The 23,268-nt window shown below is 42.0% G+C and overlaps 1 protein-coding gene and 1 pseudogene across 3 annotated transcripts in view, besides 1 other annotated feature; one reads left to right on the plus strand and one right to left on the minus strand.

Annotated features, from left to right (window-relative positions):
* The window catches only part of GRAMD1C (GRAM domain containing 1C), a 118,983-nt gene that overhangs the window by 5,353 nt on the left and 90,362 nt on the right, over positions 1–23,268 (plus strand). For 2 of the 3 annotated variants that reach the window (NM_017577.5, XM_005247547.3), the window contains exons 1-2: positions 5,244–5,392; positions 10,959–11,105. In NM_017577.5, the coding sequence (NP_060047.3) occupies positions 5,366–5,392; positions 10,959–11,105 (174 nt within the window). In that variant the 5' untranslated portion in view covers positions 5,244–5,365. Of the gene's footprint in view, positions 1–5,243; positions 5,393–10,958; positions 11,106–23,268 lie in introns of those variants that run through there. The other variant, XM_011512930.2, reaches the window with a different exon arrangement.
* Positions 5,257–5,456: a silencer, noted in NCBI's record as "silent region_14611". NCBI's record gives its function as "represses an Ori minimal core promoter by ATAC-STARR-seq in GM12878 lymphoblastoid cells {active_cell/tissue: GM12878}" and the evidence as "EXISTENCE:reporter gene assay evidence [ECO:0000049][PMID:35858748]".
* Positions 16,644–17,225, minus strand: RPS10P4 (ribosomal protein S10 pseudogene 4; annotated as a pseudogene).

Raw genomic sequence — 23,268 nt, forward strand, 5'->3', positions numbered from 1 at the left:
GCAAACAAGTCCTTGAGCCTTCAGGGAGCCACCAAACAGGTCAAAGCAAACAGATAACAATTCTTCGAGAATAAGGTCTGTACTGCTACCTCTGATACTACGAATCAGTACCAGGAATGTGGGCTATTGTAGAGTAGGGGATGGTACCAGGGTAAGTTAAAATAAAATGTCACAAAAGTCTTTTACTGAGACTCAGCTGTTTTTTCTTAATTAAGCATTCCCCTGATTGTGGTAAGGTTTTGGTGACATTCCAGATTTCCAAATAAATTGTTTCTGACAGCTCTTGCCACCTTTTTTGTTGCTTTTGTGGAAGTACAGACTTTTGAAGTTCCCCACTCTGCCATTTTCGTTGATGTTGCTCCTCCTCATTCTTTTAAAAATTATTATGAAACTGCACAGAATTCCAAATTCTAATGGATGGAGGTTTGTCATTTATTTAACCAGTCCTTTATTGATGATGATTTGTTTTCAATTTTTACTACCAACTATTCTTCTAGGAATAACTTTGGATTATTTTGCATGTGTGCAATTAAATCTATAGGAAAAATTGCAGAAGTTGGTACTGCTGAAGAGTATATGCATTTTGTAATTTTTGAAGCTATTGCCAAATTCGCTATATTACTTTACACCTCCATTATTATTATTATTATTTTGAGACAGAGTCTCACCCTGTCACCCAGGCTGGAGTGTAGTGGTGCAATCTTGGCTCACTGCAACTTCCGCCTCCTGGGTTCAAGCGATTTTCCTGCCTCAGCCTCCCAAGTAGCTGGGATTACAGGCGCCTGCCACCACGCCTGGCTAATTTTTGCATTTTAGTAGAGACAGGGTTTCACCATGATGGTCAGGCTGGTCTCGAACTCCTGACCTCAAAGGATCCACCTGCCTTGGTCTCCTGAAGTGCTGGGATTACAGGCATGAGCCACCGCACCCAGCCTCTACACTTCCATTATAAGAGTCCTGTATCCCCACGGTCTTGTCAGCAGAATGCGTTTTCAAATTTCTGTACTTTTTGTCAAACTAGTAAGTGAAAAATAGTATTTCAGTGTGGTTTTAATTTCTATGCTATTCTGAGTGAAACTGAGGATCTTTTATATTTTTAAGAGACATTTGCCCAGGCACGGTGGCTTACACCTGTAATCCCAGCACTTTGGAAGCCCAAGGAGGGTGGATCATGAGGTCAGGAGTTCGAGACGAGCCTGATCAGCATGGTGAAACTCTGTCTCTACTAAAAAAAAAAAAAAAAAAATTAGCTGGGCGTGGTGGTGGGCACCTGTTATCCCAGCTACTCCAGAGGCTGGGACAGGAGAATCGCTTGAACACAGGAGGTGGAGTTTGCAGTGAACTGAGGTCGTGCCATTGCACTCTAGCCTGGTGACAAAAGTGAAACTCCGTCTCAAAAAAAAAAAAAAAAAGACACTGATATTTCCTTTTCCATGAACTTTCTGACATATACTTTAACAATTTTAACTTGACTATGGTTTTTCCATATGTTTTTCTGGGAGCTGTTTACATATTAGTGTGATCTCACTTTAAATACATGACCATTAATCTCCTAATTAAGCATTCCCCTGATTGTGGTAAGCAGGGATTTCTGGGAGCTGTTTACATATTAGTGTGATCTCACTTTAAATACATGACCATTAATCTCAATGAGGCATTTGTGTTGCCCAGCAATGCTACTGTTTTACTGTTTTCCTAAAACATTAGTCAGTTCATTCACCTGTGCTCCTAAGTATTTCATAATTTCTCCTTTCTCTTCAAACTTCTAACAACTTTTCTTCCATATTCACTTTCACCTTATGTTCTATTTCACTGCAAAATATATCAATGCTCTTCAGCCAAAGTCCAGGAGAACCATAGCTGTAGTTAGACAACATTGTGTTTATTGACTCATTGCAATGAGGGTGAAAAAATACCATGGAGAACCATGAGGACATCTCAGTGAAAGGGTGTTAGAAAGGTCTTACTACAGGATTTGGGTTTGTGTTCAGTGATTTTGCGAGGAGGATTCAAGAAGTGGAGCTTTGTCCCAGATTACATATTGTCAATAAGATGTGGTTATTCTGATTGGGTATCTTAATACATCTTATCTAGAAGGTAGGTGGAATAAAGTGAAGCTAAAGCTGTTATTGGGAAAAAGGCAGCAGTCAGTCATATTAGTCAGCATAGGGACATAGTCATTTCTGTGTTTCGAACGATGTTCACATTTTTGTCTGTGTTTAGACATGATTACCCAGTGGCCTTCTTTTTGTCTTACTCTATCATGATCATACAGTGGCCTTGCTTAATATTAGTGTTCTGTGACGTTTTTTATGTTTAACAGAACACAGTTTATGCAAAGTTTTGCAGAATGAGGATGGAAACCTGTCTTTTACTGATTATCTTATTAAGTAATTTGTCCTTTAGTATGTCATATATATTTAAGAAATATGCTCATGGCCAGGTGCAGTGGCTCACGCCTGTAATCTCAGCACTTTGGGAGGTTGTGGCGGGTGGATCACTTGAGGCCAGGAATTTGAGACCAGCCTGGCCAACATGGTGAAAGCCCATCTCTACTAAAAATACAAAAATTAGCCGGGCATGGTGGTGGGCGCCTGTAGTCCCAGCTACTCAGGAGGCTGAGGCAGGAGAATTGCTTAAACCTGGGAGGCAGAGGTTACAGTGAGTCAAGATTGTGCCACTGCACTCCAGTCTGGGGGACAGAACGAGACTCTGTCTCAAAAAAACAAAAACAAAACAAAACAAAAAAGAAATACACTCAGTGTCTGACATTTTGTGGAACTGGATTCAACTCCTTTCCATCTCTTCAACTTTACATTATGATTTTTAAATATATGTAAACAGTAAAAGAATAACTGAATAGTAGTATACCCTCCACTTAGGTCCAATAATTAACGTTTCGCTATTTTGTTTTCTCTGTGTATTCATCTTCGTGGAAGCATTTGGAAGCAAGTTGCAGACATGGTGCTACTTCACTCCTAAATACTTTTTTTTTTTTACATCCCCATGGATAACAGGGAACTCCTAAATATTTTAGTGTGAGTTTTCTAATATTAAAGACACCCTGCAACATAGCCACAAGTTATTATTATTATTATTATTTATTATTATTATTTGAGACGGAGTTTCACTCTTCTTGCCCAGGCTGGAGTGCAATGGCCTGATCTCGGCTCCCTGCAGCCTCCACTTTCCAGGTTCAAGCGATTCTCCTGCCTCAGCCTCCCAAGTAGCTGAGATTACAGGTGCTCACCATCACGCCCGACTAATTTTTGTATTTTTAGTAGAGACAGGGTTTCACCATGTTGGCCAGGTTGGTCTCAAACTCCTGACCTCAGGTGATCCTCCCACCTCAGCCTCCCAAAGTGCTGGGATTACAGGCTTGAGCCACCACGCCCAGCTGCCAAAAATTATTAATTATCCATAAATGAATATCCATAAATGTATACATAAATCATTAATTATCCTGTAACATCAACTCTAATAGCCATTTCATATTCACTATTCCTCAATTGTTCTAGAATGTCTTCCCTCCCTCCCTTCCTTCCTTCTTTCCTTCCTTCCTTCCTTCCCTCTCTCTCTCTTTCTTTCTCTCTCTCTGTCTCTCTTTTCTGGAGATGGGGCCCCCCTGTTTTGCCCAGGCTGGTCTTGAACTCCTGGACACAAGCAACCCTCCCACCTTAGTCTCCCAAAGTGCTGGAATTACATGAGTTAGCCACTGTGCCTGGCTTAGAATGTCTTTTTTATAGCTGTTTGGTTGGGAACTCTGAACCCCAAATATCTGAGACAGGCCTCAGTTAATTTAGAAAATTTATTTTGTGAAGGTTAAGGACACACCTGTGACACAGTCTCAGGAAGTCCCAATGACATGTGTCCAAGGTGGTTGGGGTACAGCTTGCTTTTATATATTTTGGGCAGACCTAATACATCAATCAATACATGTAAGATTTACATTGTTTCAATCTGGAAGGGGAGACAGCTCCAAGGCGAGAAGGAGGAACTTTCAGGTCATTGGTACATAAAAAAATTTTCTGATTTGCAATTGGTTGAAAGCGTTATTATTGACTGGGAGCTGTGGCTTGCACGTGTAATCCCAGCACTTTGGGAGGCCGAAGGGGGCAGACTGCTTGAGTCCAGGAGTTCGAGACCAGTCTGGGCAACATGGCGAAACCCTGTCTCAAAAAACAAACAAACAAACAAACAAACAAACAAACAAAGTAGTTAAGCATGGTGGCACACGCCAGTAGTCCCAGCTACTCGAGAGGCTGAGGTGGGAGGATTGGTTGAGTCCGGGAGGTGGAGGTTGCAGTGAGCAGAGATTGCGCCACCGCACTCCAGCTGGTCTAATAGAGCCAGAACCTGTCTCAAAAGAAAAAGAGAAAAAAGAGTTATTATCAGTAGAAAGGAATGTCTGGGTTAGGATAAGGGGTTGTGGATACCAAGGTTTTATCATGCAGATGCAGCCTCCAAGTAGCAGGTGTCCGAGGCAATAGATGATAAATATTTCTTCTCAGACTTAAGGTCTGTGTTGATGTTAATGAGGCATGTCCAATCCCCTCTTTCATCATGGCCTGAACTAGATTTTCAGGTTAAATTTGGAACGCTCTTGGCCAAGAGGAGGGGTCCATTTAGATGGCTGGGGGTGGGCCTCGGCATTTTATTTTTGGTTTACAGAACCAAGAATCTGCAATACGTACAGCAGTTAATCAGTAACTTCAATCCTTTATTGGAAGGAACAAGAGTTTCCTGGCCGGGGGCGGTGGCTGACGCCTGTAATCCCAGCACTTTGGGAGGCCAAGGCCAGCGGATTGCCTGAGGTGGGGAGTTCGAGACCAGCCTGACCCACATGGTGAAACCTTGTCTCTACTAAAAATACAAAAATTATCCGGGCGTGGTGGCAGGCGCCTGTAACCACAGCTACTCGGGAGGCTGAGGCAGGAGAATCGCTTGAACTGGGAGGCGGAGGTTGCAGTTAGCCGAGACGGGGCCTTGGCACTCCATCCAGCCTGAGGAATGAGAGCGAAACTCCGTCTCAAAAAAAAAAAAAAAAAGTTTCCGAGCAATTCACCTTTTCGCACATTGGGGCAGGGTATGCCATTTCCTGGGAGGCACAGTAGTTTGAGGTTGGGAATAGGGAAGTCTCATTGTGACCCCTAGAAAGACAAGCCTTCAGGCTAACCCGGTAACACCCATCGTCAGGAATCCTTCACGGCCGCCAGAGGGCGCAAGGAGCTGCGGCTGGAAGTACTCGGAGGGCCGGCGGAGGAGGCGCGCGGAGCCTGTAACTCGCAGCGCGCGCTGGAGGTGGGCGCGGGGCGGTGCGGTGCGGTGCGCGCGGGGCGGTGCCGCGGCGGCGGAGGGAGCCGCGATGGAGGGCGCTCCGACTGTCCGTCAGGTAAGCCGCGGGCCTCGCTGGGGCAGGTTCCCATCTGTGGCTTTAGCCTACTTTTTCTCACGGTGATTGCTTGAACCTTCTCAGATTACAGTTAATCCCTCCCTTCCCTTTTCTTCGTGCTCTTTGGAGTAATACGGAAAGTTGTTACCGAGGAAACGGTTTCCTGTGCCTCTGCGAGCCCTTTCCCTACGGGCGGTGGTGGGGACATTTGCTTCCCTGTGGGCGTTGAGGGCTTGAATTTGGTCCCGAAATGTCCTGGTGCGGATGTCTCAGCCCCAGGCCCCCTTGGGTCAGGCCCCATGGTCGTGATTCTGACCCACTGTCAACGTTTTTTCCAGCCTTGCCCCCTTCCTTTCATTCTCAGCCCTGTTGTAAAGGTCCGGATAGTTTAAATCACTGTGCTGTCAGCCAAGTTTTTGATTTCAACTAGTCTAGTTTTATTTGTTTACTACCTTATTTGACAAAACGGAAAGCGTGCTTATTAATATTCAGGATGAAACCCCGCTTTTGTTGGACGGGCGCCTGCGTTTCTGAACACCATCCTCCTTCTACATTGGTTTGTGTGTATGTATTTTACTTTTAGAGAACTGCGGTCAGTGCTATATCTTCTGAAGAGCGTTATAGTTTACAGATTAGTGGAGGTACACAAATAATTGTTGAATGAACAGATGAATGAGTGTTATTTCACTTGATTTGAAAAACATTACTATGAAATAGTCAAGCTGGATATTCATGAACCCAATCAGTCACTGATTCAGTTATGTCCCTGGCACTGGGTGTTCGGGATTAGATGGTGATTAACACAGACATGATCCCTGCTCTCAATAAGCTTATTGTCTAGACTAGAGATAAAATTATTTCCTCTATTGTAGAGTTAAGGAACAGATGTACAGAGATTGACTTTGCTAAGGACCACACAGCTAATAAGTCAGAGAGACAGGAATCTACTGTAGCCACCCCAGAAAGCCAGAATGGACCCCCATCCCAAATTTGATTCAGGTGTAGAAACTGATGATGCCACACACACACCATGAGGTTGGAGTAGAAACTGATGATGCCACACACACACCCTGAGGTTGGAGTGCAGTGGCGCAATCTCGGCTCACTGCAAGCTCTGCCTCCCGGGTTCACGCCATTCTTCTGCCTCAGACTCCCCAGTAGCTGGAACTACAGGCGCCCGCCACCACGCCCGGCTAATTTTTTGTGTTTTTAGTAGAGACGGGGTTTCACCGTGTTAGCCAGGATGGTCTTGAACTCCTGACCTCATGATCCGCCCGCCTCGGCCTCCCAAAGTACTGGGATAACAGGCTTGAGCCACCACCGCGCCCGGCCCTGAAAAAGTCTTTTACTTACATAATTAAGGTCTCCAGGGAGAGCAAGGCAGGCCTCTCAAGCAGCACTAAAATGGCTTAAGAGAGCCTCAGGAAAAAACTGGCTCCAGGTCTTTTTTTCACCCTTGATGTTTGATGACTGACCTGCACCATTTGAATTTGAATTTGAATTTAAGTCAGCCATTGTGGCCCAGTGCAGTGGCTCATGCCTGTAATTCTAGCACTTTGGGAGGCCAAGGCAGAAAGAAGTATCGCTTGAGGACAGGAATTTGAGACCAGCCTGGGCAACAAAGCAAGACCCTGTATCTACCAAAATAAAAAAAAAAAAGAAAGAAAAATTAACTGGGCATGGTTGTGTGGCGCCTGTGGTCCTAGCTATTTGGGAGGCTGAGATAGGAAGATCACTTGAGCACAGGAGGTTGAGACTGCAGTGACCCCTGTTTGTGCCATTGCACTCCAGCCTGGGTGACAGAGACCAAATTATTTTCAGAAATTTAACCAAGGTGGTAGGCCTTACACTATGTGTGGCACAATAGCCCATCCTCCTTTTGTGAGCTCCTTTGTGAGTATGTCAAAAGACTGTCCTCAGGGGAGGATGTCATCAATGGAATGTTATACTTGTGCTCCTGGAGAAAATTTGATGCAGTTAAGATCTTTCCTGTAAAGGCTGTGTATGATGGCAAGACTGCGTACTCTATGGTTAGCCTGGTAAAGAGATGTTATGTCTCTCTGGAGGTGAAGACCAACTATGGCTGAGGAGGTGTTGAAAGAGACACTGAACAGAACATATTAGCCAAATCTATCACAGCAAAATATTTACTAGTTGTGGACTGGATAGTCAGTAATTTCAACAATGTTGAGTATAGGGGCCTTCCTGGGTAAAATGACATCATCGAGGATGCAGTAATGAACCATGAGGTACCATTCATTCTTACCAAATTTAACAGGCCAAATTGGGCTGTTAAATGGAGAAGCAGTAGGGATAATTACTTTCACAAAGTACTTCTTTCTTTCTTTCTTTTTTTTTTTTTTTTGCGAGACAGAGTCTTGCTCTGTCGCCCAGGCTGGAGTGCAGTGGCACAATCTCAGCTCACCGCAACCTCCACCTCCCGGGTTCAAGCAATTCTCCTGCCTCAGCCTCCCAAGTAGCTGGGATTACAGGCACGTACCACCACGCCCAGCTAATTTTTGTATTTTGTTTTAGTTGAGATGGGGTTTTACCATGTTGGTCAGGCTGGTCTTGAACTCCTGACCTCGTGATCCACCTGGCTTTCCCTCCCAAAGTGCTGAGATTACAGCATGGCGTGAGCCACCGTGCCTGGCTGAAGTAGGTCTTACATAACAAGTTTTAGTCCTTGAAGGCCCTGTTTTGTTTTATATTGGGTTGTATAATTTTAACTGGGCATTGAGAGTGGTGGTCCATAGGGTCTCACTGTTTTGTTTATTTTGAGACAGAGTCTTGCTCTGTCACCTGGGCTGAAGCACAATGGTGCAATCACAACTTACTGTGATCTCCAACTCTTGGACTCTGGCAGTCCTCCCACCTCAGCCTCCCAAGTAGCTAGGACTACATGTGTGTACCACTATGCCAGGCTAATCTTTAAATTTTTGTAGAGAGGGGGCCTTGCTGTATTGCCCAGCTTGTTCTCCATACTCTTGGCCTGAAGTGATCCTCCTGCCTCAGTCTCCCAAAATGTTGGGATTATACGTGTGAGCCAACATACCCAGCCTGTTGTCCCACTTCTTTGAAAGCCAATTTGTAAGCTCTAAAGACTTGATTTAAATTTAGTTTATTACTAATTGTGTCAGAGTGTCCATGGCCACAATAGGATATTTCAGGGCAATGTATACCACCATCGTGGAGTATTTAGGCAAAGGTATAGTTCTGATGGTTAAAGTGAGGCATACCTATTTGTTGTCTATTTTATGTTGAATAACTCCTAAGATTGTAGGGGATACCTTGTTTAAATTTAGTGGGAACTCTAGGTATAACTGTAATTTGAGACCCAATATTGATTAAAGCCATGAAGATTTGCCAATTGCCGCATTTTAGCTGATGTTGAAGTTAACTTAGAACCTATGTTGTAGAGGCACAAAAGCCAGTCTTTTATCTTTTATCCTGTAAATTATTTTAAATTCTGTATGTTTTGTTAGATCAGTTTATGGACTTCAGTTTCAGTTTTTTTTGTTTGTTTTTGTTTTGCTGTTGTATGTTTCCTCCCCTTCTATCCAGGTTTGTTGGTTTCTCCCTCTCTTTTTGGAGGTTACTGGATATACTTCAGGTGGAGGAGGTCTTCTCTACCCTCTCATGTTTACAAATTTCTTTCTCTAGAGAGCCTCAAATCAGTATCATTGTGATTAGAGGCTTCCCCCATGGCAATGGTTATTTATAGGGTTTAAGAACCTCAAGTTTGGCCAGGTGCAGTGGCTCACGCCTGTAATCCTAGCACTTTGGGAGGCTTAGGTGGGCTGATCACGTGAGGTCAGGAGTTTGTGACCAGCCTGGCCAACATGGTGAAACTCCATCTCTACTAAAAATACAAAAATTAGCCGGGTGAGGTGGTGCACGCTTGTAATCCCAGCTACTCGGGAGACTGAGGCAGGAAAATCGCTTGAACCCGGGAGGTAGAGGTTGCAGTGAGCCGAGATCACGCCACTGCACTCGAGCCTAGGCGACAGAGTGAGACTCTGTTTCAAAAAAAAAACAAAACAAAAAGAACCTCAAGCTTAAGTGGAGCAGCAGCAGCAGAGATATTTAAGGATCCTGGTCCACCATAAGCTGTTTTTTTTTTTTTTTTTTTTTTTTTTGTTCTTGTTGTTTGTTTGAGACAGGGTTTTGCTTTGCCGGCCAGCCTGGAGTGCTGTAGCTTGATCATGGCTTACTACAGTCTTGACCTCCCAGGCTCAGGCAATCCTCCCACCTCAGCCTCCTGAACAACTGGGACAATAGGCGCATGCCACCATGCCAGGCAAATTTTTTGATATTTTTTGTAGAGACGGGGTCTCACTATGTTGCCCAGGCTGGTCTCAAACTCCTGGGCTCAAGAGGTCCTCCTGCCTCAGCCTCCCAAAGTGCTGGGATTATAGGCATGAGTCACTGTGCCTGGCCCATATGCTTTTATAATGGCTACTCCTCCTTACTCCCCTATTCCATATTTGCTTTTTTCTTTTTTTAACTGCCTGATGAGTGATCTTACTTGAGCAATTACCCGATGGGCCCATATTTTTTTGAGACAGAGTCTGGCTCTGTCACCCAGGCTGGCATGCAGTGGTGTGATCTCGGCTCACTGCAACCTCCTCCTCCTGGGTTCAAGCAATTCTTCTGCCTCAGCTTCCGAGTAGCTGGGACTACAGGCCACCATGCCTGGCTAATTTTTTGTATTTTTAGCAGAGACAGGGTTTCATTATATCGGCCAGGCTGGTCTTGAACTCCTGGCCTCAAGTGATCCCAAAGTGTTGGGATTACAGGCGTGAGCCACCTCGCACAGCTGGCACATCTTATTTGTTTGTTTAAACTCCATTGTTTGTATAAATCAGAGCTTATTTACTAATTTCTCTATTGATGGACGGTGAGGTTATTTCCACTTTCATAGTATTAACAAACATTCTTGACTCTATGTGTATATTAAATTGCTGCATTGCAGTATATGTCTATCTTCTTTCCTACTGGGCATTGCAAATTGTTCTCCAAAATAGTTGTACAAACGGACACTCCCATTAAATTGTATTTTTATTATTTATTGTTCCTCTAGCAGACTGTGCACTTCTGGAGATGGAGGACTTTGTTTTATTCATCTTTGCATCCCTAGTGCCAACCAAACTACCTAGCAAATAATAGTAGTTGGAAAATCTTTGTTGCATGTATAAATGTATGAACTTGGCTGGGTGAGGTGGCTCATGCCTATAATCCCAGCATTTCTGGAGGCTGAGGTAGGAGGATTGCTTTGGCCCAGGAGTTGAAGGCTGCAGTGAGCTATGATGGGGCCATTACACTCCAGTCTGGGTGAAAGAGTGAGACCCTGTCTCTAAAGAAAATAAAATAAGAATTTAAAAAAAATAAAAATAAATATATAACTAGATGAACTATTGAAGCAAAAACGTATTTATTACTGTCTTCTAAACATTTAAATATTGCCCTTTTAAAATTAATGTATATGTTGTGAACATTAACTTTTTTCTTTTTAAAATGGCCATTTCTCAATAAATAATTGACTTAGTTTGATATTTGTTTCCAGGTGATGAATGAAGGGGATTCAAGCCTTGCCACCGACTTACAGGAAGATGTAGAGGAAAATCCTAGTCCAACTGTGGAAGAGAATAATGTGGTAGTTAAAAAACAGGGGCCAAATTTACATAATTGGAGTGGTGACTGGAGCTTTTGGGTAATTTCTTTTTTTACGTCTTTATTTTAATCTTGAATACAAATTTTCTTTAAATCTGCAAGGAGTCATATAGTATTTGTAAAATTTCCTTCTTAGCTTCTAGATTTTAGATGTTTCAATTTTAGTCCAGAGTCCCAAAGACATTTCTGATTATTCTCTCCTTTGACCACTAGAATGCACTGTTGTCTGGTTCGATGAAATGGAATTAATCTGCTTCAGTTTCCTTGTGTGAAAACTACACCACAGAAGTGGATTCCACTTACACTGTAGCTCACTGTATTGTCAAGAGACTAATGTTATATAGAAACCATATTTCTGAATGTTACTGAGAAGCCAGCTATTTTATATAATTTTGATTTAAAAAATTCATTCCTGTACGTAAAGGAAGTTTAGCAGTGTTCAACCTATAGTGTATAATGACTATAAGATGGTTTTAAAGTTAGAAGCTACATATTCTGTTTCCATTGTGTTCATTCGGTTGTGTAATCTGGATGTGCTTCAGGTTTCCCCACTGGAAAATGAGACTACTGCTTGTTGATTAGGCACATTAAGATCTTAGAGTCTTTTTGGAAGAAAAACACTTCTGTATGTTACAAATGCTAACATTTATTATATTAAAGGACTCATTCTAAATCTAGCAATTCCTGTGAGAGTTATGAACCATTTGATAGAATCTGGTGTGATACAACTATAAGTGAAAATTATGTAGGATGGTAAGGCATGTATAGTTCCAATTAGTTCATTAGAAAGCTGATCTCTTGGCTGGGCACGATAGCTCACGCCTGTAATCCCAGCGTTTTGGGAGGCTGAGGTGGGCAGATTGCTTGAGCCCAGGAGTTTGAGACCAGCCTGGGTAACATGGCAAAACCCAGTCTCTACAAACAAACAAACAAACAAAAATTAGCCAGGCGTGGTGGCACATGCCTACAGGCTACATCCCAGCTACTCAGGAGGCTGAGGTGGGAGGATCACCTGAGCCTGGGAAGTTGAGGCTGCATTGAGCCATGATCGTGCCACTGCCCTCCAGCCTGGGTAACAGAGAGAGACCCTGTCTCAAAAAAATAAAAATAAAAATAAAAATAAATCTCATCTTTTGAGGATTAGGTATCCTTGGTAGCAGATTTTCTTGTAATTTTAGAGTAGGCTAAAAAAAGATTCATTAACAGGTTATAAAGATTAGTACAAGTACCATCATTCTGTTCATAATTAGCAGTTCAGTTCATTGGAATCTTAACAGTTATTGAATCTTAACGTGACTAAAACGTTTGATTTCCTATTAAGAAACGTGACATTATAAGTTTTTTTGAAATATTTTCTAAGGAAAATATTTAATTGCTAAGAAATATACAAAAATAACAATACATCCTAAAAATAATGTCATGTCTATTGACTATATTATTTTTGGTCATATTTAGAAAAGGTTTATGACAATATTGTAGTATTATGACCTTTCTGCACTAATTTTTTTTTTTTTGAGGCAGAGTTTCGCTCTTGTCACCCAGGCCAGAGTACAATGGTATGATCTCCAGTCATTGCAACCTCTGCCTCCTGGGTTCAAGTGCTTCTCCAGCCTCAGCCTCCCAAGTAGCTGGGATTACAAGCACCTGTCACCACACCCAGCTAATTTTGTATTTTTAGTAGAGACGGGGTTTCATCATGTTGGCCAGGCTGGTCTTGAACTCCCGACCTCAGGTGATCCGCCCGCCTCGGCCTCCCAAAGTGCTGGGATTACAGGCATGAGCCACTGTGCCCGTCCTCTGCACTGATTTTTTTTTCTAGCTTATGTTTTAGATTGGGGAACCTTCATACTCTTAGGGACTATCTACAGGGCTAAGTAGTTACTGTGGTTACTATTGACAGACTTAAAGCAAGAAAAATGGTAATGCAAGAAAAGGAAAAAGCAAAGGAAGGAGATAATTTAGAAATAGGAGAGAAAAAAAGAGGGATGTGTTCTAGATCCTTGCTACTAAAGGTGTAGTATGGGGGCCAGCAGATTTGGCATCATCTGCTGGCAATGCAGAATCTTGGGCCCAACCTCAGACTTACTGGATCACAATCTTCATTTTTCACAAGATTTTTAGGTGATTTACATTTAAATTAAAGTTTGAGAAGCACTGATTTAGAGTGTCAGAGGTTTACTTTGGCTCAGTTTGGGCCCCTAAGCTGATTGCAAACACTTCATTTTAAGGACATTGTATATGAATTCATATAGAATAGACCTAAAGAGAAGTACAGTATCTCATAAGTTTTACAGACTTTTCTACAGGTCAGTTACCCAGACACCAGAACTGTCAACAACTCAGAAGCAAACAAAAACAAAAAAAAGACCCCATATAGCTAAATCAGAGTTCATGCTGATATAGCTGGTAATAGGAGAGATCCTCAAATCTTCATTTGGTGTTTCTTTATTTTTTGCTATATTTTTTATAAGCTTAAATAAACTGAATAGGATATTGAAGGTAGGGAAATTAGTTGATAATAACACATAGAGATACCAGCAAGAAATGATAGCAGAAACTCAAAAAAAGTGAAGAAACCCAGACCTTTGTTTTTATATTTTTTAATTTTTTTACTGATATCTCTTATTCTCTTTCATCATTCAAGTTTGTTCAAAACATTACAAGAGACATGAAAGGAAAAATAATTGCATTTTTAAAACTCAGTCTGTCCAAAATATAACATATGAAACCATGCTATTATATCTTAGGAAATAACAACATTCAAAGTTAATTTGATATCAAAGTTCAAGATGAAGACTAACCTCAAAGTATGGCATGTGCAATGAAACCTGGACCTTTTAATGTGGAGGCCAAAGGTCTGTGCAGCTAAATTGGCTCTAAATAGTACTGTAGTTGGTAGAAATGGTGTTTTAAAAGTCTGGAAAATAAATAATTCATTTTTTCTCTGCCATTTAAAATCCATCAACATCTACCACAACTCTAGCATGTTGCTGTTGTTTTCTTCATTCTCCCCCAAATAAAGTAGGTATTGAAGAAAAACAAATATGATGGGGAATTCACTGAGGGGTCTAAAATTAACACAAGGAAGACAAGCCAGGCATTGTAGCACATGCCTGTAGTCCCAGGGGCTCAGGAGGCCTGAGAAAGGGGATCACTCGAGCCCAGGAGTTTGAATCCAGCCTAGGCAATATAGTGAGATCCCATCTCTAAAACAAACAAATGAAAATAAAACAAAACACAAGGAAGACAAGTAGCATAACAGGAATGTATTCATAAGGCACATGACCTGGTATGTAAGCAAATAATTAGGGATGTCAGAGCCATTTCACTGGAATACCCAAGGAACCTAGAGTTGTGCTTTTTCACTTTAGAGAGGTTTCTAGCAAAAGAATGGATAACTTTAAAAAGTATTGGTATTTACAGAGTTAAGCTACAGGGATCTGGGAAGTTCACTAATGTAGAATAATTCATATGTTCTAGCCTGGCTAAATCAGTTGTTCCACAGTAGTGAATTTAGAGGGCAGCATGATATAATTGAACACATTGGAGACTGCGAACAAAATATCTGGAATAGAGTCTCTGCTCTGCATCTGGTGATTTCAGGGTGTGGTCATCTTGAGTATGTTGCATAACCTGTCTCACCTCAGTTACCTCACCTATAAAATTAGAGATTGGGTCATGGTATTACAACACTGGTCTGTCTTGAATCAGTAGTAACCTCATGCTGTTTAACAGATTGGCTAATAAGTGCCTTTCTGACAGTAAGACTAATTTAAATAATAAGAATTAACTCTCTATGGCTGTTGATAGTGAGCAATGGCTTAAGATTTTCAGATTTTTTATTTCAATTCTATAGTTTAAAGATAGGAATCTTAGTTGTTGTATTTGTTTTTTTTTTTATTTTAAAATATTGGGCCAGACATTGTGGCTCATGCTTATAATCCCAACACTTTGGGAGGCCAAGGTGGGAGGATCACTTGAGGCCAGGAGTTTGAGACCAACCTGAGCAACATAGTAAGACCCCCATCTCAACAAAACAAAATAAAAATTAGCTGGCTGTGGTGGCTTGCACCTGTAGTCCCAGCCACTTGGGAGGCTGACATGGAAGGATTGCTTGAGTCCAGGATTTGAGGTTATGGTGCGCTGTGATCATGCCACTGCATTCCAGGCTAGGCGACAGAGAGAGACGCTGTCTCAATAAAATAAGATAAAATAAAAATTTAATTCTGTATGTGAGAAATGAGTTTTATTATTACCTTTTAAACCCTAATTAAACAATAAAAATTATGTGAAATGATGAAATGAAATTTAAAATAATGGCAAATATTTATGCTTTTGCCCATTAACTTAGTAAAAAAATATATAGCAAAATGTAAAACAAACAAACAACCAAAAAACTCTTAAAACAAAAGACTTACTTTCTTCTTGGCTAGAGTAATAGTATATTCCATGTGGATTAAGATCCCAGAGGCAAGGCAGACAAAGATCTGCAACATATGCATTTATTTAGTGCAAATTCTTTTAGCGATATAGAGTAAGCAACTATTGGGAGTAGAAAATAGCCTTTGAGATTGTTCATTGTGTGTGTTCAGAAGATGACATACTTACCTGGGATTTTTTAATAGAAGTAATAGTGCTTTGGATAAGCTAGTTAATATTTTATTTATTTATTTATTTATTTATTTATTTATTTATTTATTTTTTATTGATCATTCTTGGGTGTTTCTCGCAGAGGGGGATTTGGCAGGGTCATAGGACAATAGTGGAGGGAAGCTCAGCAGATAAACAAGTGAACAAAGGTCTCTGGTTTTCCTAGGCAGAGGACCCTGCAGCCTTCCGCAGTGTTTGTGTCCCTGGGTACTTGAGATTAGGGAGTGGTGATGACTCTTAACGAGCATGCTGCCTTCAAGCATCTGTTTAACAAAGCACATCTTGCACCGCCCTTAATCCATTCAACCCTGAGTGGACACAGCACATGTTTCAGAGAGCACAGGGTTGGGGGTAAGGTCACAGATCAACAGGATCCCAAGGCAGAAGAATTTTTCTTAGTACAGAACAAAATGAAGTCTCCCATGTATACTTCTTTCTACACAGACAGGGCAACCATCCGATTTCTCAATCTTTTCCCCACCTTTCCCCCCTTTCTATTCCACAAAACCGCCATTGTCATGATGGCCCGTTCTCAATGAGCTGTTGGGTACACCTCCCAGACGGGGTGGTGGCCTGGCAGAGGGGCTCCTCACTTCCCAGTAGGGGCGGCCGGGCAGAGGCGCCCCTCACCTCCCGGACGGGGCGGCTGGCCAGGCGGGGGGGCTGACCCCCCCACCTCCCTCCCGGACGGGGCGGCTGACCGGGCGGGGGGCTGACCCCCCCACCTCCCTCCCGGACGGGGTGGCTGGCCGGGCGGGGGGCTGACCCCCCACCTCCCTCCCGGACGGGGCGGCTGGCCGGACGGGGGGCTGAACCCCCAACTCCCTCCCTAGAGCCCCTCCAGCTAGTTAATATTAAATATTCTTTTGTGCTTTGATAATTCATTAAGATCTTTAAAAATATTTGTCAATTGTATATACTTACTTTTTTTTTTTGCTGTACGTTTATTCAATGCAAAATAATAATACTCTCCAGTTTTACTGAGGTGGCTGACCACGTCCACGACCAAATCTGCCTTTAAACTGGAATTCGGTTGCTGACACAGCCCCAGCCTCGACTTTCTTGTTGGCACCAGGGGGCACAAAACTCCGTCTGTAGGTATCTCTGTCGGCTTCCCCTTTTGTGAGTCTTGCAGGTCGCTCACCCTCCAGACCTTTAGGCCAAGGCCTGCCAGTCTCTGGATGGCTGCAGCGTAGGGTGGCAGCACAGTCTCCGGGGCAGATGAAGATAATCATGGAGATACTGGATGCCCTCATTGGTAAGGTACCAGTAGAAATGTCTCCAGGCAAACTGTTCCTTCACGTAGCCTCAGGACTTGAGAGACTGCATGGCCTTCATGACATGAAGGTTGGGCACATTCTTGTCTGCCAGCTCGGGTGCTTAGGCATGTGGACGTCCTTCTTGGCCACCATGACTCCCTCCTTAAAAAGGAGTTCATAAATGGCAATCCGGTTCTTCTTAGGCATCAACATCTCCGCTGCTGTAGGGTCCGGGGCTGAGGCTGGAAAGGATATACTTAATTTTTTTTTTATTTTTATTTTTTTAATTTTTATTTTTTTTGAGATGGAGTATTGCTCTGTCACCCAGGCAGGAGTGCAGTGGTGTGATCTTGGCTCACTGCAAACTCCGCTTCCCCGGGTTCACACCATTCTCCTGCCCCAGCCTCCCAAGTAGCTGGGACTACAGGCGCGTGCCACCACGCCCGGCTAATTTTTTGTATTTTTAGTAGAGACAGGGTTTCACCATGTTAGCCAGGATGGTCTTGATCTCCTGACCTCGTGATCTGCCCTCCTCGGCCTCCCAAAGTGCTGGGATTACACGCGTGAGCCACTGCACCCGGCCTATACTTCTTTAATAGCAGATTTAGCTAATCATTGTATTTTTAAACTGGAGGGATTTGTAAAGTTTTCTGAAATGCGTAACTAAAATTAAGTTTACTCAGGGGTCCTTTGTGTGTTCCTCTTTGAATAATTGTTTATTTGAAAATCTTGAAAACTATGCATAAAGAAGATAGGAGATCTCAGATTCCTCAGGTCTTTGATTTAGGAAGGGAAATAGAAAAAAAGATGGAGTAGGAGAATTTTAAAAAAGATTAGAGTTCGAATTGATTTTTTAAAATTTTTTTGTTTTAAAACGTTTTAAGAATAAACAGATTTTCAACCATTATCTACATATATGCAAATAATAACTAGTATACTTAGGTTTTAATAGAAAATATTTATATTTGAATTTTTCTAGATAATAGTCAAGTTTTCTTTCTTTCTTTTTTTTTTTTTTTTGAGACAGTCTCACTCTGTTGCCCAGGCTGGAGTGCAGTGCTGTGATCTCGGTTCACTGCAGCCTCCACCTCCTGGGTTCAAGTGATTCTCCTGCCTCAGCCTCCTGAGTAGCTGGGACTACAGGTGCACGCCACCAGCTGAGCTAATTTTTGTATTTTTAGTAGAGATGGGGTTTCACCATGTGAGCCAGGCTGTTCTCAAGCTCCTGACCTCAGGTGATCCATCCACCTCAGCCTCCCAAAGTGCTGGGATTGCAGGCCTGAACCACTGTGCCTGGCCAAGTTTTCTTTAACTGTGCAAAAAATCAGAAGCCTTTATTCTGTACTTTATTTATTTATTTATTTATTTGAGGTGCAGTCTCACTCTGTCAGCCAGGCTGGAGTGCAGTGGCATGATCTCGGCTCACTGCAACCTCCGCCTCCTGGGCTCAAGCGATTCTCGTGCCTCAGCCTCCCGGGTAGCTGGGATGAGAGGTGCGTACCACCACTCCCGGCCTATTCTGTACTTTATCAGTAACTTATCCTACTCACATTATTAACAGGTAAATTTTTCTACTGAGAAGTGGGGAATAAAACTGATTTTTTTTTGCCACAAATCTGTTTTATACATACATAGTAAGGATTAATTAATGTTGTACTATTAAAAAAATCCCAAGAGGATTAATTAGTATGTTTGTAACATACTTTGGCAACTGGGGAGAATAGGTTTCCTGTAATCATGTTGTCCTCCACAACAACATGTCTTGGATTTATTCAAGCTTATAAAGGATATTTCAGATTTTTACTTTGGTGACTGATAAAAAAGAATAAACTCATTTTCTAATTTATGTTGGATTAAAAAAACATTTTATCCAATTTGAAAAATTTTAAGTATAGTTAGATACTGCTCGATAAACCTAGATATCTTTTAACAGTTTTAGGAATAAAAACCAACACTTCTGGCAATACAAGAAGGGGACGATTTAAATGCTCTTCTGCTAAGGGTACCTAGCAATGCTGGATGAAATGTTTCAAACTTTTTTTTAATAATGAATGTCTTGGCTCACAAAACAGCGAGGGAAATATACCTAAGGGGTTAAAAAAAAAGAAAAAAGAGGGAACTGATTACCAGAGTTGTAAGCCCATAAGCTAATGCCGAGGTACCCGTGAGGAATTTGCTCAGCTTTAATGGCTATGCTGTGATAGGAGATAGGAGATAGCACCTTGAACTTGTATGAGCTGGAACTGAAAACTCTTTATAAAGCCTGACTCCCATACCCTCTGTGAAATACAGATGAAAAAAATCCACTACATCCACAGGTTGAAGACAAGGAAACTTGTCTGTCTAAGCCAGGGCTTAGGGTGGGAGTGGGGGTAGTTTCTCCTGAGAATATGTAACTATAATCCATCTCTAACTGTAGTCCATCTCTCATGAAGTTTTGGGGCTTGGATTTAGTACTCTATAAGTGAGCAGAAAGAGATTCAATAAATAGTGTATTTGATGCTCCAAAACTTCAGATAATAAAACTATTATACCAAATAAAGACTACGAAAGTCATATGATATTGTAAGGACAATAGAAGGAATTAAAAGTAGTATAAATGGATAGGAAATTCTCAAGAACACCAGGCAGATTTGAAAAAATAATCAAATACAACTTCTAGAAATGAAAAATATGGTCACTGAAATAATCGTAATTAAAGAATGCAGTGGGCTTGGGAAATGGCAACTAAAGAGAGATCAGTAAAGTGAAAGATATATACGTATTAGGAAATTCCTCAAATTATATCACTGAGAGATAAAGAGAGAAAGTATGAAAGAGAGCAGTTTAAGATGTAAAGGAAATAGTAGAGAAGTCCGTTATGAATCTAATAGCAGTTTCAGAAGATGAATACAGAGAATGAGCAAGAGGCAATATTCAAAGAGAATGTGCATGAAAGATTTTCACTCAAGTTGAAGGGCTTCATAATCAGGAATTGCAGTGAGCTGCTCACAGGATAAATTAAGGAGTATGTGAGCAGAGACATTATGATCTTAAAAGTGGCAATGGTAGATATACATGAATTAAGAAAGGAATGGTCTTATTTATTCATTTATTAGAGTGTCTTCTATGCACGAGAATGTTCTAAGTGAACAGGACAGCCTCTCTACCACCCTGGATCTGACAACAGAATGGGAGCCGGACAGCATATAACTAAACAAACATGTACTATGTCAGGTAGTGATAGAAGCTATGAAGACAACAAAAGAATGTAAAGGTGTAGAGAATAGCATGGGAGGGAGTAGCATTTTTAGTTAGGATGGTCAGGAATAGCTTCTCTGAGGAAGTGCCATTAGAGAGAGGCTTAAATGATGGGGGCGGGTGAGAGAAGGAGAACACCAGTGAATCCTGGAAGGGAAGGGAAAGCGCAGGGTGTTCTATGGAAAGGCTCTGAGGCTGGAATGAGATTGGCTTGCTTGACAAATAGCCTGCTGAAGGGATTGATGTGGTGAGTGAGGGAACAAGAAAGATCAGGGATAATTATTCCTAGGTTTCTGGTCAGTGCAACTGGGTACATGGAAGTGCCATTTAGGGGAAGAAAAGACTGAGGGAGAAGTGGGTTCTGGCATGTGGGGAAATCAAGAGTTTTTTTTTTTGTAACTGAGTTGGCGATGCATGTTTGATATATGGATAGAAAGGTCAGGTGGGCTATTGAATATACTACCGAATCTTCGGGGAGAGATTGGAGCCAGAAGTAAATTGAGAAGTTTTGAGCAGGCATGATACTTAAAGACAGACTTATGAAGACTGGATCAGATCACTTAGGGAGAAAATATGGATAGAGAAGAGAAGCGGACTCTCCAATGTTCAAAACTTCAGGTGGTGGAGCAGAAAGTGGCAAAAAAGCCTGAGATTTGGTTAGGAGATAGAAGAAAATCTTAAAAAGCGTGGTGTCCTCAAAGGCAAGTGAAGGAAGCCTTTCAAGGACAATGATCTACTGCGTTAGGTTGAGTTAGGTGCAACCTGAGAGTTGGGCATTGGATTTGCAAGATGGGGGTTGTTAAGGTCATTAAAAGTACAACTTAAGGGCAAAAACCTGACTAAAGTGCCAGCTTTTGGACTGTTGTCCTAATCTTCCTTTGTAAAATTTGACTTATGGTTGTTTAAAGAAGGGCCAAAGGAAGAAAACTCATGTTTCATTAAAAACGTATATACTTCTTTAAAGATCACCATATCAACATGAAAAAAACCTTTTTGGGGAAAAACATAACTATTAAGAAATTGCTTTACCAATAAATTAACATATTTAATAAATGACATAGAGAATATGGAAATTAACTAGAATGGTGATATGTTACTGGGATATTTAATAAGGCTTCAACCTAAGTATAGCCCTTTGATTATCTAGGGCAATGAGATATTTAAACAGCACATAAAAACAAATCTAAGATAATACAAAATTTCTAGCTGTACCTGCCTTTCCAAAAAACCTTTATTAGATATGATCTGTGCACATAAAAACAGTGACACTGAGCTGAGCATGGTGGCTCACGCCTGTAATCCCAGCAATTTGGGGGGCCGAGGTGGGCAGATCACCTGAGGTCAGGAGTTTGAGACCAGCCTGACCAACATGGAGAAACCCTGTCTCTACTAGAAGTACAAAATCAGCTGGGCATGGTGGCGCATGCCTGTAATCCCAGCTAATTGGGAGGCTGAGGCAGGAGGATTGCTTGAAACCAGTAGGTGGAGGTTGTGGTGAGTCGAGATCATGCCATTGCAGTCCAGCCTGGGTAACAAGATCAAAACTCTGTCTCAAAAACAAACAAAACAAAACAAAACGAAAACAGTGACACTGAATCCCATGAGCTACATGGGAGAGTGACTTTCTATCACCTTAGTAATACTTTGATCAATAATTGATTTTGGCCGGCCACAGTGGCTCATGCCTGTAATCCCAGCACTTTGGGAGGCCAAGGCGGGTGGATCCCTTGAGGCCAGGAGTTCGAGATCAGCCTGGCCAACATGGCAAAACCCCCTTTCTAATAAAAATAAAAAAAATAAGCCGAGCATGGTGGTGCGCGCCTGTAATCCCAGCTACTTGGAAGGCTGAGGTGGGAGAATTGCTTGAACCCAGGAGATGGAGGTTGCAGTGAGCTGAGATCACACCACTGTACTCCAGCCTGGGTGACGAGTGAGACTCTGTCTCAGAAAAAAAAAAAAGAAAGAAAAAAATCATAATAATTAAGTGATTTTAATTGCATTATTTCTCTGGAGAAGATGTTAGTAAGTAAAATGGCCTAAAGGTAAGTGGTTGGAGGAAGGGGAAAATGGTGTGGTGTATTGACCTCTGAATCAGCTTTAAACATTTTCCCCTCTTATATAGAATTAACACTTAAAAAATTCTTTTTTGAGACAGAGCCTTGCTCTGTCACCCTGACTGGAGTGCAGTGGTGCTATCTCAGCTCACTGCAACCTCCGCCTCTCCGTTTCAAGGGATTCTCTTGCCTCAGCCTCCCGAGTAGCTGGGATTACAGGCACGTGCCACCAGCTAAGCTAATTTTTATATTTTTAGTAGAGTTGGGGTTTCAACATGTTGGCCAGGCTGGTGTCGAACTCCTGACTTCAAGTGATCTGCCCACCTCGGCCTCCCAAAGTGCTAGGATTACAGGTGTGAGCCACCCTGCCCAGCTGGAATTTAACACATTTATTCTAATTGTATCAACCTCCTCCTCTTTTACTTTTTTTCTCTTTTACTTCTTGGTAAAAGAGGTAAGTGTAGACCCACATGCATTTTTGAAGAAATAATAGGGATCCCTGTATCCTTTAAACAGTTTCCCCCAATAGTAACATCTGTAAAACTATAGTACAATATCACAATTAAGCTATTGACATGGATAGAATCAAGATCGTTTTCATCACAACAGGAATTCCTCATGTTACCCTTTTATAAATATAGCCACTTTCCTCCCACTGCCACCCCCTATGTTACCCCCGGCTAGTCTGTTCTCCAGATTTATTTATTTCTTTATGTATGTATGTATGTATGTATTTATTTATTTAGAGACAGAGTCCTGCTCTGTCGCCCAGGCGGGAGTGCAGTGGTGCGATCTCAGCTCACTGCAGCCTCCACCTCCTGAGTTCAAGCAATTCTCCCATATGAGCCTCCTGAGTAGCTGGGATTACAGGCGCGTGCCACCATGCCTGGCTAATTTTTGTATTTTTAGCAGAGACGGGTTTCTCCATGTTGGCCAGGCTGATCGCAGACTCCTGACCTCAAGTGATCTGCCTGCCTCAGCATCCCAAAGTGTTGGGATT

This window comes from Homo sapiens, chromosome 3 (genome assembly GCF_000001405.40).
Source record: "Homo sapiens chromosome 3, GRCh38.p14 Primary Assembly".
Lineage (NCBI taxonomy): Eukaryota > Metazoa > Chordata > Mammalia > Primates > Hominidae > Homo > Homo sapiens.